Source organism: Homo sapiens, chromosome 1, assembly GCF_000001405.40.
Source record: "Homo sapiens chromosome 1, GRCh38.p14 Primary Assembly".
NCBI lineage: Eukaryota > Metazoa > Chordata > Mammalia > Primates > Hominidae > Homo > Homo sapiens.
In genome coordinates this window covers 216,716,750-216,735,924 of record NC_000001.11, presented here as the reverse complement: position 1 = coordinate 216,735,924, position 19,175 = coordinate 216,716,750, and the positions used below count along the sequence as shown (strand labels likewise).

General features: G+C 36.3%; 1 protein-coding gene across 53 annotated transcripts in view; it reads left to right on the top strand.

Moving 5' to 3' along the window:
• ESRRG (estrogen related receptor gamma) overlaps positions 1-19,175 on the top strand; it is a 634,457-nt gene that overhangs the window by 401,778 nt on the left and 213,504 nt on the right. For 9 of the 53 annotated variants that reach the window (XM_047449385.1, XM_011509271.3, XM_047449390.1 and 6 more), the window contains exon 1: positions 12,496-12,681. The exons of 43 other annotated variants lie outside the window; for them this stretch is intronic. In XM_047449385.1, the coding sequence (XP_047305341.1) occupies positions 12,626-12,681 (56 nt within the window). In that variant the 5' untranslated portion in view covers positions 12,496-12,625. Of the gene's footprint in view, positions 1-12,495; positions 12,686-19,175 lie in introns of those variants that run through there. One more of the 53 variants, NM_001243519.2, reaches the window with a different exon arrangement.

Sequence of the window (19,175 nt, the reverse complement as noted above, 5' to 3'; positions counted from 1 at the left end):
CTCCCTGCAACCTCTGCTTCCTAGGTTCAAGCAATTCTCGGCCTCAGCCTCCCGAGTAGTTGGGATTACAGGGGTGCACCACCATGCCTGGCTAATTTTTGTATTTTTAGTAGAGACGGGGTTTCACCATCTTGGCCAGGCTGATCTTGAACTCCTGACCTCATGATCCACCCACCTTGGTCTCCCAAAGTGCTGGGATTACAGGCATGAACCACCACTCCCAGCCTGAAATTTTTAAGTAAGTTAATTAATTGAGACCAGTCAGGGTCACATAAGTATGTAGATTTATTTATAAATGTAATGTTAAAGATTGAAAACTAGTGAATAATTGTTCTAGAGGTTCTCTCATGGGTGACAGAGGTGGAGGCAGGGCAGGGATTTGCCATTGCTGCACAACCTTGTCTTAAGAAAAAGATGGGCCAGGTGTGGTGGCTCACGCCTGTAATCCCAGCAATTTGGGAGGCTGAGGCTGGAGGATCCCTTGAGGCCAGAAGCTTGAAACCAGCCTGGGCAACAAAACAAGACCCTATCTCTACAAACAATTTTTTTTTTTTTAATTAGCTGGGTATGGTGGCACACACCCAGTTACTCAGGAGGCTGAGGCAGAAGGATCACTTGAGCACAGGAGTTTGAGGGTGCAGTGAGCTATGATCTCATCACTGCACTCCAGCCTGGGTGACAGAGCCAGACCCTGTCTCAAAAACAAAAAAACAATGAGGCTGGGCATGGTGGCTCATGCCTGTAATCCCAGCACTTTGGGAGGCGAGGAAGGCAGATCACCTGAGGTGAGGAGTTGGAAACCAGCCTGGCCAAGATGGTGAAAACCCATTTCTACTAAAAATACCAAAATTAGCCAGATGTGGTGGCAGGCACCTGTAATCCCAGCTACTTGGGAGGCTGAGGCAGGAGAATCACTTGAACCCAGGAGGCGGAGGTTGTAGTAAGCCAAGATCGCACCACTGCACTCCAGCCTGGGCAACAGAGGAAGACTCCGTCTCAAAAAAAAAAAAAAAAAAAAAAGAATATGGAACTATGTAGTAGCCAACTTTTTTAAAAATTTATTTACAGGGTAGAGGGGGGAAATTCATAAGTCAAAATGTTTCATTTAATGAGTAGCTAATTTTGAAAGGGTAAATATATTAGCCCCATTAAAATACTGACAAAATTTCTTCAAAGAAACATTGAAACTCATTTTTAAAAAACTCAAGTTGTATGAGTACGTTAGTCTATTGCTGCATTGCTATAAAGAAAGACCTGAGACTGGGTAATTTATAAAGAAAAGCGGTTTATTTTGTTCACTACAGACTGTACAAGAAGCATAAGTGCCAACATCTGCTTCTGGTGAAGCTCCAGGAAGCTTATAATCATGGCGGAAGGTGAAGGGGCAGAGGCATATCACATGGTGGGATAGGGAGCAAAAGAGAGGGGAGAGGTGCTACACACTTTTAAATTTTAAACATCCAGCTTTCTAGTGAACTACCAGAGTGAGAACACACTCATCACTGCGAGGACAGCACCAAGCCATTCCTGACAGATCTGCCCTCATGACCCGAACACCTCCCACTAGGCCCGCCTCCAACACTGAAGGTCATATTTCAATATGAGATTTGGAGGAGACAAAATAGCCAAACCATATCAATGAGTGTGAACATTTTTGCCAAAATCAGGAATTTATTTGGCAGATATTTGTTGAGAGTCTAAAATGTCTAGATATCAGTGCTAGGCACAGTGCAGAGGATTAAAGGCCATCAAGAAGTTTACTCAATGGAAGGCAGAGACACATAAGGACAATCTACCTTGACACAAACCATTTAGACCAGTAAGCGCAAAGCATGATAGGACACAGAGGAGAGGGCCATTGATTCTGCCTGGTGCCCCTTCAGGAAGGCTTCCCAAAGGGAACACTTGAAGGTGAGTTTTTTTTTTTTTTTTTTTTTACAGAGTCTTGCTCTGTTGCTCTGTTGACCGGGCTGGAGTGCAGTGGCGCGACCTCCACCAACCTCTGCCTCCCTGGTTCAGGCAATTCTCCTGCCTCAACCTCCCAATAGCTAAGATTACAGGCACCCACCACCACACCTGGCTAATTTTGTATTTTTAGTAGAGACGGGGTTTTGCTATGTTTGTCAAGCTGGTCTCGAACTCCTGACTTCAGGTGATCCGCCCCCCTCAGGCTCCCAGAGTGCTGGGATTACAGGTGTGAGCCACTGCGCCCAGACTGAGAGTGTTTTATCTACCCTGTGGATTGTGTTGCTAAATATTGTAGCTGACTAAATGAGAGCCAGTATTACAAGAAAAGGAACCCACCGCTTTTTTTGCAATGGTTTATTTATAAATATGTAACTTTCTCCTCCAATAAGAGCACATGAATTAAGTATGGTAAAAATAAACAAAATATTTACATTTACTTTCTTTACATCTTGAAATATTGATTAGGATTGAATAATTGAATAGATTTAACTGCTCAATGACGGCAATGAAGTCAATGTTGGGGCAGAACGTGGGCAGTACTAGAAAGCTCTCACCACAAAAACAGCCCTTTAAAGCTAATATTGTCTTATTTAAGCATCTTTGCTAATAGGGAAAGCAACATGTGGCCCTGTTTTCTCCCAAGATCTTCTTAGCAGTAACATACCCAGGCCCCAAAGCACCTGGTAGTGTGACAAAAAAAAAAAAAAATGCCCTTATACTGCAGGCTAGCAAAATTATGGAGATGAAACAGAATAATTCTGAAGAAAACACGAATGTTTGAAAGCTGTTATGTTGTATGGGTTGATCATAGTTCTATTTTATTAACAAGGGAATCTTTGAAAAACTGTAAGCAAATATGGTAGTTTTAAAGTTGAATTTTTTTTTTTTTTGGATTATTGTTGCTTCTGTCTTAATGAGGAATGATTTTGCTCCTCTTTAAGTCTCTTGGTTCCTTAGCTCAGATATCCTAGAATTTTGCTGTGGTTGTATGGCTGGGAAACTTGGGAAAGAGAAAGCAGTCAATTTGGAGCTATGCCTAACCAGAGTAAAATTCCTGACAGAGAAGGGAAATTATTGAGACCACAAGAGTCCCCCTCCTCCCCCCCCTTTTTTTTTTTAATTTTAGAGATGGAGTTCCACTATGTTTGCAGGCTGGAGTTCAGTGGCTATTCATAGACAGGTGTGATCATTGATCATTGATCATTGATCACTGATGCCTTGAACTGCTGGACTCCAGCAATCCTCCTCCCTTAGCCTCCGGAGTAGCTGGGACTACATGTGCACGCCACCATGCCCAGTGGTTTCCTTTTCGTATTGTACATTTTCACTAGTAGGGCAGATCAGCTGAGGTCAGGCATTCGAGACCAGCCTGTCCAACATGGTGAAATCCCGTCTCTACTATAAATACAAAAATTAGCCGGGTGTGGTGGTGGGCACCTGTAGTCTCAGCTACTCTGGAGGCCGAGGCAAGAGAATAGCTTGAATCCGGGAGGTGGAGTTTGCAGGGAGCTGAGATTGTGCCACTGCACACCAGCCTGGGCGACACAGTAAGTCTCTGTTAAAAAAAAAAAAAAATCAATAAATCCAGATGTCAACTTTGCAGCATGAAAACTGAGTGCTGTTGGGCAATCAACAAACTCTTTGAATCTCAGTGTCATCTATAAAATGGGGATGATAATATAATAATAATGAAGTTTCTACCTGCTACAGCAAGTTGTTGTGAGGAACAAAAGGAGCACGTGTGAAATTGCCTTGTTAATGTTAAATTATAGCAAAAATATTGGGTATTCCACTTCTTTTTTTTTTTATGTTGACAAAACCTTTCTTTTTTTTATTTTCTTTTTTTATTTTTTATTTTCTTTTTTTATTCCACTTCTTAATTAGAATTTTTAAATGTTCTAAACAGCTAACTTTTCTGTCCATATTTTAAACATATAAAAATTAAAAAAAAATTTCTTTGTTAAATTTCAATTCTTTGTTTAACGTTCTGATTTATCGAAGGATGAATTAATCCATGTCTATTCTCACTAATGAAAATGGTCTTTGATTTATTTAGTTTCCGAATTCAACTGGTAACTGAACTCTTGCTTTTCGGTAACACAGTTTGATTGGATAAACTTTCGTTATCCAAATAGCTGTGCACTTAGTTACAAACTGTAGGTGAGATAACAGCCCCAGGATTTCAATGTCCTGAGTACAGGCCTCATGCCCCTCCCCCATCACCATTCCTGGTAATTTAATCTACCACGGAAATGGGAAAGGAATTCTTTGTCTCACTCTTTTTAAAATTGATACATAATAGTTGTACATATTTTGGGGGTACGTATTGAGTTTTGATACATACATATGAATGTGTAATAATTGAACCAGGGAATCTTACTCTCTTTTGCATCCAAAATGTGGTTTTCTAGAGATAACAGTTGGCTCTCTAGAATGTGATATGTTCTCATCAGGGCCTTGCTCTTGCAATGAAATCATCAAGCAAAACACACAGGTCTTGTTTTAAAAATTGCAAGGAGTAAAGAGAGGTAAACAGCGGCCTAAAAGTAAGACCTTTGTCTTTTTCTGCTGATTAATTCCCTTCTTCCTCTCCCCATAAGAGGAAAAATCCACCTTCCCACTGAAAGTATTCAGTGTTCACTGCTGCTCCAGTCATACATCTCATAGAAATAGGAACTCTGTGACCATTCTTCATGGGATCCTTGTCAACATTTAACCAAATAAATCTTTAGATAATGAAAAGTACTTAAAATCCTTAATACAGAAATTTTTATGTTGCATACAAGAACCGTTTTTGAACACTTAAAAATATTTGGGTTCAGGACATATCTGGGATCATGATTTTTAAAAGCACTTGCTGTCAGATTAAATGAGAATATGTTTCCATGTTACCCTGGGAAGGGTCACAGTTTTAGGTACTGATATGGCAGCTTTGTTTGCTTTTGTTTTAATAATAATTGTTTTCATTATCCAATACTTAGTCAATATGAATATTTACAAAACATGGAAAATTAGAAAGTAGAGGAAGGAAGCAATCATTGTACATTGCTCCTTCTTAGCTATCAGAAGAATAAATGATGATGGAGTGCTGGTGCCCCTTAGTATAGCATGGAGCAGGCCTTGTCTTCAATCCTTTTTTCCTCTTTTTATCTTTTTCTACCAACTTTCCGCCTCACCATTTACCTATTTTTTCCAATCATCTTATCTCTTAAATTTTTCCCATATTACTCTAGTTACCTGGCTTGAATTATCTCATTAAATTTGGCAGCCTCCCTTAAAATGAATAATTAACTGAGTAATAGCATTGGTCATTAGTTCATTCATTCATTCACTCATCCAAGACATATTCATTGTGTTCCTATAACATTGACAGGAATATGTCTTGAGTTCCATTACTGGCCATGGGCATACTGTCAGGCCCAGCCCAGCTCACAGATTACAGTCAGATAGAGTTTAGAGTAGGGAAAGGTGTGGCCATTTAACAAAACTGAATCCCTGAAGGAAATGATAGTTAAAATGTGCTTATAAAAGGACAATAATTAGCTGGGGAGAAGACAGAATTTATTTCTACCAGTACATTCCCAATTCTTTTTAACTATGTACCTTTTTTTCTTTCTTTCTTTCTTTTTCTTTCTTTTTTTTTTTTTTTTTACCTTTCTAAGCTTTTGGAGAAAGTAGAGGACCATTTGGTTTACACTTGGATATTTATCTCTTAGGTTCAGAACTCCCTTGGCTTTTACTGGACACGTGTCCTCAGAGAGGTCAGATCTCTGTCGGAGTTCTATGCGCTAGTATAGTGTCAACAATTGTGACACTAACATTGGTGGCTTGTTGCTAACGAAGCACTGGAAAGGGGAGAAATGTAATCTTTTCTAATAGGAGCTTTCCTACTACCTAGGTATGTAACCTGGGTTAAGGCTCTTAACCATTCTGAGCCTGATTTCCTTTACCTGTAAAGTAACCAAGCTGGACTCATAATCCCTATGGTCTTTCCCAGCCTGTAATTCCCCATTGCCCAGACTTTATGTGCTGCCATAGATTAGTGGCCATTCAATGTAACAAGAGCAAAGCCTTGTGAAGAAATTGAGTTTTTGGGATATCTGATCAAAAGAGCTCCTAGGTGAATGAGCTTGTGCTTGGGATAGTAATAAAATCAACAGCATTATTGACTGAACTGCTAGAGTAGAGGGATGTGGAAGAAGTGTCTTAAAGGAAGAGAAATGGAGTACAAGCAATTTCTCTCTCCCCTTCTTTCTGGTAAACAATGTACAATTGAATTCTCTGGAGAGTCAGCAGAATCAGTTAACTTTCCCAAGTCTGTTTTCCTCATCCCCACGCAGAAAACATCATGGTAACTTTAAGGGGAACATCTTTTAGTTTTCCCTTTCATTACATGCAGCCAATGTATATGTGGCAGTATGGCAAGCAATTCATAATGTAACATACTTGCACTTCACTTTCTTTTCTGTATCCAGTATCTCCCACTCCTAGTCAGAGATGGAGGCCAAATGAATTACAATGCCTTTCTCTTGCATCTCTCTGTTCAGTTTTAAAATTTTGTAAAATAATTTTTAAAGATTTAAAAATAATATAGCTAACATTTATGGAAGGCTCACTAATTGTAGGATGACAATAAAATGTATTCTCCAAACGGGGGCACTATTGAGGGTGTAAGAAGGTGCTTCTGTAAATTGTTATGCTAGGACAACTGGCACAAGCCAAAATTTCCTCAGCGCACGGGATCATATGGTCCCCAAACTGGGGCCAGATATTGTGCTAAATTGGTTTAACCTGCTTAATCCCCATACGAATTCTATAAGATTGTTATTGTTATTCCCATTTGGTAGCTGAGGAAACTGAGATTAAGATGGGTGAAGCTGACTCCAGTACAAAGCCTCATCCCTCATAATTGGAATCTGAACCCAAGGCATGTTCCAGAATGACCTGTAATCCCTTGCTCTAAAACCTTCTTCCAGGTCTGACAAACACACACCTCTAATTAATTTGCCTTGGTTGGGGGAAGGAGACTCTTATCAAACATAGTCATTTATAAAAAGAAATCTTAGAAGTGTGTCAGAGAGTTCAAACATCAGAAAAAGTATAACTCTTTAAACCTGTTTATATGGATACCAGATGTTAATATCTTACTTTTTTTTTTTTTACTAGTCCTTTGAAAATTCGGACAAAAGGATTAACACAAGCCACAGGAAAAGGGAGCTTTTAAATTTGTATTGAACATCCATATACGTCAGGAAAAAAATACATTGTGCTTTTTTTTGATGTTTTATGATATATATATTTTTAGACTCAAATATATTATATGTTGAATGGGGTGGTTAGGATAGGTAATTTGATCATTTTACTGGTATCAAAGCATGGATTGCTTATTCTGGAATCTGTCATGTTTGTTCCACTTCCCCCTGCTTCTCTATCTCCACTACCCGCCCCCGCCACCTTCCTCTCAGAGTTAAGCTACCCTTTATTTTGGACAACACTATCACACACATGATTGAGTCAACAATTTATGGCTTTTAAAAACAGGGATTTTGTCCTCTCTTAGGTTTACTGTTTATCATAATCATCTTTCAAGTGAAAAGGCTAATTTACTCTTTCTATAGGAATATTTTAAGCTTGATTATCATAATATTACAGCTGCCTCAAAAGGTCTAAAATGGGACATTGACCTTGAATGTTTTCTGCATTTAGCTCATGGTGCTTAACATTCAGGAAAGAATATAACTGCAACTTATTTATTAATGTATAATCTCAAAACGTTAACTATTGCTCTGTAAATACATGCCATGCAGATTATAGAAAGCTTGTAGGATACTGTAAAATGCATTTGGTATCTTACCAGGGTAAGTATGATGGAAATACAACCTAACTAAGGTCAGTTTTCCCATTGGAGCTACTGTAGTTTATAATTTAATTTTTACTGACATTTCACCATGTGTATTATTAGTTTGACAAAACGAAGGTGAAATAATCCTGAATTAATTAAACAGAAACTGAATTGCCTCTATTAGTTTCTGTCTTTCTCTGATTCTTTTTTTTTCCCCCTCCAACTTTCACAAACAGTGGGAAAAGAGTTTAGTGTGTTATGTCGGTGAGACAGTTGCTCCCCAGAGAATGGGCTTTTTTTTATATATAGGCTCCATAATTTGGGAATGGGATGGATTTATAGGACAAGAGGTTTGTCAAAAGGAAGGGTTTTTATTAGTGCTTCTGTGGAAGCGATCACTTTCAGCAGAAATGATTGCTTCTTGCCAATCGAGACAATAATTTAAATATCAAAGCCTGTGCCCTAGAAATGAAAGGCAACAGAAAATGAGGAATGATGAATTGATAGAGGGCTGGTGGTAATATAGTGTAAAGTAGTCATCCTGACTTCGAAAGAAGTCTGCGTGTTCTCAGTGGGAAAGGTGTGTTCTTAAGCAGGTTTATAGCACAAAAGAAACCCCAATTTTCAGATGAGGAAATGAGGGACAGATAAGTGAGGCAACCTACCCATGGCCACACAGCTCATGAGGAGTAGAAGGGAGCCTGGTGCCTTGCTTCTCATTTTAGGTTCTTTTCCCAAGGTTGTCTTTTGGAGTTAAAGATAGTAGTTTGTAATTGTCTTGGTTTGCTTTTTGCAGGATGGTATATTATACTATATATGATACATTTAAAACAGCAGGGAAAATAGTTCAAAAAGTTAAACAGCTTTTCAAAGATTTTATAATCCTGAGGAAAGATTACTAGGCAATTTGAAAATCTAAATTTGTTATGCCTTGTTTAGTTTTACATATTTAGTAAATGATGAATGTGTAATATAAAATAAAAACCTGCTTCAAAAATGACAGTGATAAACTTGAACATTTTAATGAAGGTTAGTCCTGTTAATTTTCAGAAAAGAAAGATAGGAGCTAAAAATAGCTATTAATATGCAATAACAGCAAGACTAAGCATTTCTCATCACCTTCTAGCAACATAAGAATTCCTAGTTAGAATGTTGCAAGAAATGATTCTGACTTAAATGTAATAAAATGTCTGGTGTATATGACTAGAGGAATCTTCCTGTTGTTTCCACTTGAGCTTTGCTTGTTTTCATTCTGTTCTTTGAAATAGAAATGAAGTATATTCTCTGCTTGGTGACTGTGCATTAGTTGGGGACTGAGAATGAATTTGTTTGGATATTTATGACTGCATTGTTTAAGGAAGAAGAGATTGAAACTATGCATACACCAAGAGCCTGATGCATAATAGACTGATATTAACTAATTTATTAATATTCTTTGTGAAGCAATCATGAGAGATCCTTTTGTTTGGTTCAGTTTTTCTTGATTTGGGTAGACTCCTTGTGGTAAGATTGTGAAGTGTATAGACTGGGAATATATGTGTATCCTAGGCTGTTTATCTGTTTGTTTGTTTATTTGTTTTTCCAGATTTTTTTTGTAATTGAGATTCTTGAAGGTTTAAGCTCAGTATTACTCATGGCACATTTATTTCCCATGATTATCCATTGTTTTCTCCTGCAAGGTGAGAAAAATCTGGGACCAGGGAAGTTTCTTGAGATGACTGAGCTGTGTATTTGTAAAATATTCTGGAAGCTGTCTCACAAGTTTAGTGAAGAGGATTTTTAAAAATTTTAAATTGGTTAAACTGGATTCAAGACAGTAAGTACAGTCTTTAGGTCCTTGACTTGTACAGGTGATACTTTGATCCCAAGGGGAAAATATCCAAGTCTACAAACCTAGTACACATCTGGTCACTCAGAAAGCAGCGAGTTCAGTGAACACTGCACCTTGCGTAGATGAAATATGGTTAGTGAAAAATCAGTGGGGATGACACTATGTATGTTTGTACATGTATCTCTGTGAGCACAGAACAATGACTTACGCATGAGTCTAAATATCTTTAAAAATATACACCAGTGAAGTCAAATGGATCATAATGAGGGCAAATAAGTACCCAAAGGGAAATAAGAAAATGATGGGAAATTAAAGATCACTTGTACGACATTTGGTGACTTGAGATCCACCGGTAAATACACTACAAATCTTGTCTTTAAAAAGCCATTTCAAAGGAGTAATAAAGAGGTTCTGTCACAGCATAATGTAAAGAAACTGAACACAGTACAGGATTCTGCACCGGTGCAAAATCGGAATGCATTCTTTGAGTACATTAAGATGCATTGAGTACATTAAATAATTTATATTTTTTAAAGAAATATCCATAGCCAAACCAAGAAGGAAAGTTTCTTTCTTTTTTGTGTGTGTGTGTATCTTTTTTAAAGTATGTGCAATTGAATCTATTAATTACCCTGAGAATTTTAGTTTATTCAGAAATCACGATAGTAATCATATGAATCAAAGGATGTTTTTCTGTCTTTGTAATGCAGTATTAGCTTCCATATTTCTTTGAGTGTATTTTAGAAAAATCATGTTTCTTTTGCAAAATGCCTGTTTTATTTATTTTTTAATTGTAAAATGATTACGTGTCTTATTTTAGATTGAATAGACAATTTTTTTTTTCTCTCAGTGTCTGCAGAATGCTTGGATTTTCTTCTACATCTCAAAGCTCTTTTAATTCACTGCTCACAACCAAATTTACATCTTAATTGCAGAGTTCACATTTAACAATATAGACAGCATAATGCTACTGGTAATTAAGCTTTTACTACCTGCTTTTATACAGTATTCTGAGGCACAGTTTTTGCTATGTGAGTTCTGATCTAGAAACTTTGTATGCATTTAGAACACAAATAAAAGGAATTAGGCCTATATCTTAGATATAGCTAAATACAAGGCAGTGAAATTGCTTTCTTCTGTGGGGGGACCAAATCATGTCTGTCATTTTTATATTCTGAATTTTAATGTGGCTGCTCTATTTTAGTGTTTTGGTTTTTTAAAGACCTAGAAAATTTGAGAGGGTTAAGGGAGTTGAGTCCTAATTTAGTGAATTTAACATACGATGAATATCTGAACTAATTTATTTTGATCTCAAAGATTATACTATTTCTATCATGTAGGACTTAAGATGTAAAAGGTTGATAAGCAGTAGAGCTGAATTATATCAAAATTGTGGGTTTTTCACTCTCCATAAGGTAGCAGTTATCTCTTTGCCATAAATAGCTGGTATCTATTCCAATGTACATTTGCTAGTATAAAAAAATCCTGTAGATTAAAATAGGACCTAAGCAAACTCTTTGTTATATGGAAATTAAAGACACGGTGTACACAATTGAAGGAGGAAAAAACACACTTGTCCTCTTATATCCTCCTTTTATTTTTATTTTTTTGAACACTTTTGATTGAGAATTCTTAGTTTTGTAAATTATTATCTGTTTGAAACTAGTTCTTATAGTGACCAGACTGTGTGATGGTTTATAAAATGTTTCTGGGTTGATTTTTTTAAAGCATATAGGGTGCCTTATGTATAGAAACAAATGTGTACACTGTGTTTTATTTGAAAGCAGGATGTTTTGGGTAAAATCATATATAAAATTATATGCCTCCTAGTTTGGAAGCTTGTATTGAAATATATACATATAATTAAGAATACTTTTAGTGCACTGTTTAGTAATGCTCTCCCTACAAAAAAAAAAAAAAATGCTGTCTTTATTTTGTCAAAATGCATCGAGAGAGATTTAATTCGCTATTTACCCCCACAGCCCTCAGACTCCCCACCCCTAAAACTGAAGAAGCCAATTTGTCCTGCGGCTGTTTACCGTTGTTTTGAAAAGCTATGCGTTGTATCTATATGTAAAGAGACAGTCGCAGGTATAGAAAGGTTTACACATATAATTTACTTAGGCATTCTTTCAAATTGTATTGTCACTATCTCCTCTTCTGTAGTTGTGTAAAACTGCATTCCACCTCAGAGATGACGATCCCAGTTCACATGCTCAAACAATTTAGAAGAATGCCTTTATTATTATTATTTTTAATGCCCAGCATACATCAGGAAAACAGGAAAAGACATGATTAGGAATACATGAGAAAGTACAGCACCAAATAAGCCGCGGCCCCCGGTGTAATAAAAACACAGACAACGGCAGGACAAACTTAATTCTCTACCTTCCGCAGAATCCTTTCCCAAATTAACTGAGAGTCTGCGTGAGTTCTCCTTTTCAAGGCAAAAGAGATCTTAGGTTAGAAATCAAAGGCAAATCCCTCCAGTGCTTAGAGAGTTAAGTTAGTTATGTTTCTTTTGTAGCTTCCCAGAAGAAAAAAAAAAGAAAGAGAGAGAAGGGAGGAAAAAAAATCAAACCCGAGAGTGTGTATTGGGAGCGTTTCAATCGCTCCCTTCTCCGCTCCCTTTTTCTCTGCCCACTCTCAGTTTCCAGCCCCCTTCGGCTCTCTGCACCCTGCCTACCTGCCTGGCTCCTCTCGCTCCGTGCAGCCTCCCGTCGCCTCCCTCCTGATTGGGCAGAGGCCCCCCAATCGGCTGCGCGGCTGGGCCGGTGGGACTGCATATGTAAAGCCCTACTTCATATTAATAAGCTCCAATCGGGGCTTTAAGTCCTTGATTAGGAGAGTGTGAGAGCTTTGGTCCCAACTGGCTGTGCCTATAGGCTTGTCACTAGGAGAACATTTGTGTTAATTGCACTGTGCTCTGTCAAGGAAACTTTGATTTATAGCTGGGGTGCACAAATAATGGTTGCCGGTCGCACATGGATTCGGTAGAACTTTGCCTTCCTGAATCTTTTTCCCTGCACTACGAGGAAGAGTAGGTACCTTTTTTCTTTCCTTTTTAAACTCGTCGTGGGGGTGCGGGGGTGGGGGCGGACAGACTATATCTTTACACACTGATTCAGGTAATGCCCTGGGTATTTTGTGTGCACGACTGCTTGTTTGTGTCTGTCTTGTGTCTTTTGTGTTGAGGGTGATCTCCTAATTCAGTAAGTCGAGAATTGTTCTCTGACTACAATGTTACCTTTGAGGCAAAGCTCAGTGACTGTCAGTAAAACAGCTGTGTGACAGTCACTTCTTATTCAGGTGCTAAGAATAGGCACTTGGCACAAATGCTTAGTGAACTGTTAAAATGCATCTTTTACTAGGACCCATTTTCCCAAGGAAAGATGTTTTAAAATACAATATTCAAAATGATTTATACTATTGAGGGCCTCTTATGTATTTGCAGTTTGACAGATATTTTCAGCTCCTTGTCATTTCTTACCGCGCAGAGTTAGAGGCAAAATTGCACATTTACTAATTCTCCTTCAGAGAACAATTTAAAAGCTAGCCCTATGCAATTCTGAGCTAGAATAATGTTATTTGCATGGTTAGCGTTAAGTCAGCACTTAACTGACAAATCAGTCCATTAAGTAACATGAGATTTTCACACATTATAAATATTTAAGGGGGGAAAAAAAACTAAAGAAGAAACAGTAGTGACTTTAAAATTTTCCCCTTAAATACTGCTCAGAGTGTGGATTTGTCTCGTTTGTTGTGTCCAGAAAATATAGAAAAGTACTTTCGTTCTTACAAGCAGTTTAATTAGTATTTATGGATATCTTTATGCACATGGAAATATATATTTAGATTACTAAAGGGGGGGGAGTGAGTAGGGGGTACGAGAAGTAAGTTAGGCATTTTTGTGTAAATGAGTAGGTGATAAACTTAATTTCAACCTACTGTTAAGATAAAATGTTAGTATATCACGAGAGCTGTCACTGGTTTATCTCCCTTTCTGTTGAGTCAGTTATATTGCTTTGCTTTCACATTACAGTAATACCAACTGTTATAATTCTGAAAAGAGTGCCCTTGGCAAACATTTCTCTCTATAGATTGTGAAGAAAATATCAAACTCTAGAAGATGAGGTAGTGCATTATAGGTAGATGTCCACTAGCTGTCCTTAGTGACTGCATATTGCATTGCTTTGTAATTAAGTAAGAGATGAAAAGTGACTTGCAGTCTCAGTGGCTGCTCCTGTATGTTTGAGCGTGAGTGTGAGTGTGTGTGTGTATGCACGCTCACACATGCACATCCACCCACATCCATGCTCACACAGGGAATATTAGCCAAGAGATGGATTTAGGAGGAACTGAAAGATTATAAGGCTGTGCTTGCATCAGTTTGAAACACTCAAGGGAAGAAACAACCTTAAGATGTGTAAAAATAAAAATGAAAAATAAACAAAGGTAAGACTGCCCGCTCAAGTGTAGTTTGAAGGTTAGTGTACTTCGGGCTGTAGAATTGGAGAGTTTAAGACGTCTTCGTGTCAGGAAGAATGTCTTATCCAAGCACGCCCAGATTCTGAACTTTCTCTTGTAAATAAATAAAGAAAACAAACTTTAAAAATCCCCCAGAGGCTTCTTTTTGAAGTAGTTTCCTTGAATTTAACTTCTTATAGCTAATTTGAATAATTCGTTTAGATAAGCCTCTTAAAGCAGATGCATTTAAATGAAGTCAAGGCACATGTCCTTTTGGCTTTGGCGCAAGATTCAAACTAGCTTTCTTTTGGGCTCAATTAAAAGTCATCTTTAAAAAATACAGATTTATTGTCTGGATGCAGTTCTGATGGTTACGTGGTTCACTGGACAGACAGAAAGATCTAACGCTAAGCAACGCATCTGCCTCTCTGTCTCAATTAATAAACCACAGAATTTATACATGCTATTAATATTCATAGTAATTGTACCGGGTTAAACCCCATCACGTGTGTGTATACACAGAAATGAAACCAGAGTTATACAGTTTTAGGGGCAAATATTGGACAGTTTCTGCTTTGGAGGCTGTTAAAAAGATTCATACCATTTATTGACCACCATTAAGAGAGCTTAAAATGTTAACCTCTAACTATGTATTTTTTTATTTTAGGAAATGTGCCAGCACATTAAAGAACATAATACTTGAAAGCTTGTTTCACATTTAATAGCAGTAATAGCTGATAGCATAAATAGATGAAAATAATATATCTGCTCATTTTGACATATGTGTCAGTCTAATCATTCTAAATGAGTGTGCTCATCACATGAATCCCTTTCAACCTCTGATTAAAATGTAACATTGACTACAGGATTATAGAGCGGACTTAATTTTACTGACTGTTTTAACAGTTGTCACAGCTGTTGGAAGAAGGAAAGGCAACTGAAACACTCCAAAACAGACAAGGCGAGGAGGGAACAGTTTAGTAAATTTCAGCCTGATCACTGAAGTCCAGACATTGAAAATTTAAGTTTCGTGTTTTAAGATTCGTGTTTGGAGCTACACAAGTTTTATTTTGTATGTTTCACTCTTTCTGTTTCAGGGTTTTCATGTTTTTTCTTTTTCTCATCTCTTCTTTTTAAAATCTATACTAATTAAAAAACAAGACAATCCCAAAGTAATTCCATAATGTCAAATTATAGGTGATAAAATAGGCAGAAAGAAAAAATTTATACAGTAACAGTAACAACAACAAAAAAGCCGAGATCAGAGGGGATGCCTTTTTTTTAGGGAATGATAAGAGCTTGGCCAAGTCACTTTAGATGTGATATTATTTGAGAACTCTGAACAGACACTTTAAGTTTATTTTTTCAAGTAAGAATACTTAAACTCTAGACTTGGAGCTCACATGACTTTTCTTCATGTTTTGTTTTTTATTTTTTTTCCCTACAATCTTGAAAACACCTGCAGCCTTAAAGGTATGTGGTGTTGGTGGAGTTTTCAGATGATTTCTCTGTAAACTGCTTGAAGTGACAATCAGCTGCAATTAGTTGTGAGCATTCTTGAGCTGTAGTTTTGTAACCTTGCCCATTACATTACTAAAGTGAGCGGATTAATTCTATTTTCCTAAAAATTAAGTAATCATTGTACATGTTCCAAACTATATATAGTTGAAATGGCCAGATGACTAGTATTATGTAACATATGATTTTCTCCTTGAAGTAAACAACAAAAAAACAACTGTTCCTGAGTTAATGAAATATATATTGAATGGGAGTGGTGGATAAATGATGGGTACCCCATGTTCCACTAGCCCTTTGTGTCAGGGTATTTATGTATTACCCTATACACATTTGGTGGTAAGTTTAAAAATCCCTTTTTTATAGAAAGGACTAAGAAACAGCTTTCATTTCCTGGGCAGAGCTAAGGGTGATGGTGTTGGCTATTTCTTCTTACAGTGATGGTTTCTCATCTTAATGTGTTTATGGCACTGCTGCTTTATTTACTGAGCCTAGTGTGTTGCAGCGGTAATTAACCCATGTTATTAGCAAAGCCCTTGTGGATATCCATTAATTCTCTTGCATGGATGATCATTTTTCTAGTGTTTTCCCCAAATAAGGTATCATTGTTCTGTTTTTTTCCCTAAATTGACGGCATTTGATATATTTCTTTGATTTAATCTGACCTGTAATATATATTGGTCATTTTATAAAGAATAATAATTAACTCAGCTTTTAAAAATGCTAATAGAAGCAGGAGGAAAGATTTTTTTGTTGTTGTTCTTTTTAAAGTGAAAAAAGAAAAGAAAAGAAGGTTTAAAAATAATGCAGGAAATCAGCTTTAACTCTAAATTTTTCAGATCTTACAATTTATAACAATTTATATCTTTGAGGTATTTTAATCAGTTTTTTTCTTACTTAGTTAATAACACTTCAGGCATTTTTGTAAAATATTGAGCCAGCAGAAAAATACTTGTGCTTCCTGGCTGAGAAAAGATAAGGACCATCTCATTAGCCGGGCCATACTTTTGCAATTAATTTTAGATACCTGGTGCTATTCATCAAAGAAGGAAGCTAACTTCTCTATGATTCTATTTAACAATACTTTTGCAATACCTCACTCCTGCAAGAATTACAGACAAAGAAGAAGCCATTCTTTTGGAAGGTAGGCATAATGCCCAATCTCAAGTCCGTATCACTTACGAAAAATTCCTCAACATTTGTTTTAGCTCAATGACTAAAGAAAATATTTCTCTGTCTTACTTGTAAAGTGATGTTAAGCACTGAAGGTTTTGCTTTGTATTATTTTATAAAATAAATTATATGCTGATGAGAGATACTTTTTCATACAAATGGCAATTAATAGCAATGATTTCTATTAAACCAATTAATATCAAATAAACTTTTTAGCATCACTTATCCAGCTTTTAGAAATAAGAGGAGAGGATCTGAGGGATCTCAGTAGAACTTTAGAGTCATTGCAGCAGATAAGCTTTGCTCTGAATTTTGCTTCATAGCAAATTCATGGAAGAGAGAAACAATACAATGTTGATCTATTATAAGTGCGTATGAGCTCCGGCCCTAGCCAGCTCTCTGGAGAAAATCTTTGATTACACTGGCCCAGTTTGTTCCATTTTTATCTCTTTTACATCCACTGGCATTGTATTAAATTGTCATGTCCTAAAGCACAACAGATAGAATGAATTGCAGTTCTCTACATTCTCTGACAGTGAGATATTTAGCCTCTCTTTCTCCAATCATACTTATGTGTATATTTGATAGTGCAAGGATGACACCAAGCATCTCTGCTGCTTGACAATCTTTCCATTGCATTTTGTATGTTTTTGTCATTGATTTTTTTGATAGCCATGTATATGTGGATATACATGAACTATACTATTATTAATAAATAAATACACACATGGTACTTTAAAACTCAAAGCAGTCGATAGGATACCCAGGAGTATATTTGTGTGCATGTATAGTATGCATGTGAAATATGCATGTATGTGGGAAGAGGTAATGTATACGTAGATTATAGGTATGCTGCTAAAAGTATTCATGTACATTTATATAATAAAGTAGATCTCAAGTATTATTCTAATCAGTTAGTTGCCAGTTAAATTTGCCAGGCATGATTTTAACCTGGAATTGGTATTTCAGGTATTTACAGATCTGATTTTAATCTGAGTTTACTTAACTACTGTGTGTTAGACAGGTAACAGGTAACCTAGTAAGTCAATTTGTTTCTGATTTTAGAATTTTCACATTATTGTTATTCATGTATTCAGTATCTGGAAATCATAAATAATTTGTAAAATAGGAAAGAAACTACTGATATTAAATGTATAATTTAATGGTTTGGGCCCATATCCAAGAAACAATTTTGAATTAGCTCTTGGCTACATTCTTTTCTTACACAATTGGGCCTGACAAATACATCTTAATGTAAAGCATGATAGCTTTCAAACAAATGCAAAATATGAATTTCCTTTATCTGTACTACATAAACATATCATTTGCTCTTTTTCTAAAAGCAAATATATAAAACTATAAGTATTATATTTCTATAAAGTACATTATAGATTTCAGAATTATTTAATTTTATTCTAAGAGGTAAGTTTAGAAGTCTGTGAATTTACTTAGTAAATGACTGTTGAGAGAAAGCACTTATGCAATTGCTTTTTCTATTCTAATTCTTGTTCTAATTCATGTTCTTTTTAAAATTCCTAGATTCATTGCCTACCTTTATTTATTTGCATAACATTTTAACAAATTTACTGCTATTGTGTTTTTAAAAAAATTCTGCTAACCGCTTCTTTATGCCAATCTATCAGATCAAAGTTAGCTCCTTTATTATCTGAGGGTGGGAAATGACAGCCTTTTGAAGGATTTACCTGGCCTTTTATTCTTGTTTCAAGTTCATTTTTAGTCTTGTACTTTGTAAGGTCTAGGAAACCTAAGCTAATAAAATAATTTCCATTCAGAGTTTTAGCACACACATCTCTCCACTCTACTTTTTCTTTCCAGAAGTGACACATGTTTCTTGTCCTATGATTTGGACAATATTTCTCAGTATTTTCCAAATGTGTTTTCTAATCAATTATCCAGGATTTTCCAAAAGTATCTTCCACTCAATTATCCAAAACTATTGAATTGAGAGAGTTTAGATTTATTGAGTGTTGTATATATGTGTGTATATACACAAATTTCCCCTTATAATGTTTAAAAATAATTTTAAATGTTTGAGGGAAACTTGCTTTTGATGTTTTGATTTCTTCAAATGATATGTCATTTTAATTTATGACAATGCATGTATACTTGGAAGGTAACTTACTGAGGCAAAACAATGAAAGAAAAGGTACAGTTTTAAAGAAATTGGCTTCCTTCTGGTCAGTTAAAGTCCATTTCAGTATACTGGCAAAGATCTATATGTGCATTTGAATGTAGCTATAAACCACGCAACACTAACAATTAGAAATACAACCTATGGCTATATGGAATTCTTTCAAACAATATAGAAAAGGAAAACACTTGGTTTTGGCATTTAAAAAATTTTAAATACCTATTAAA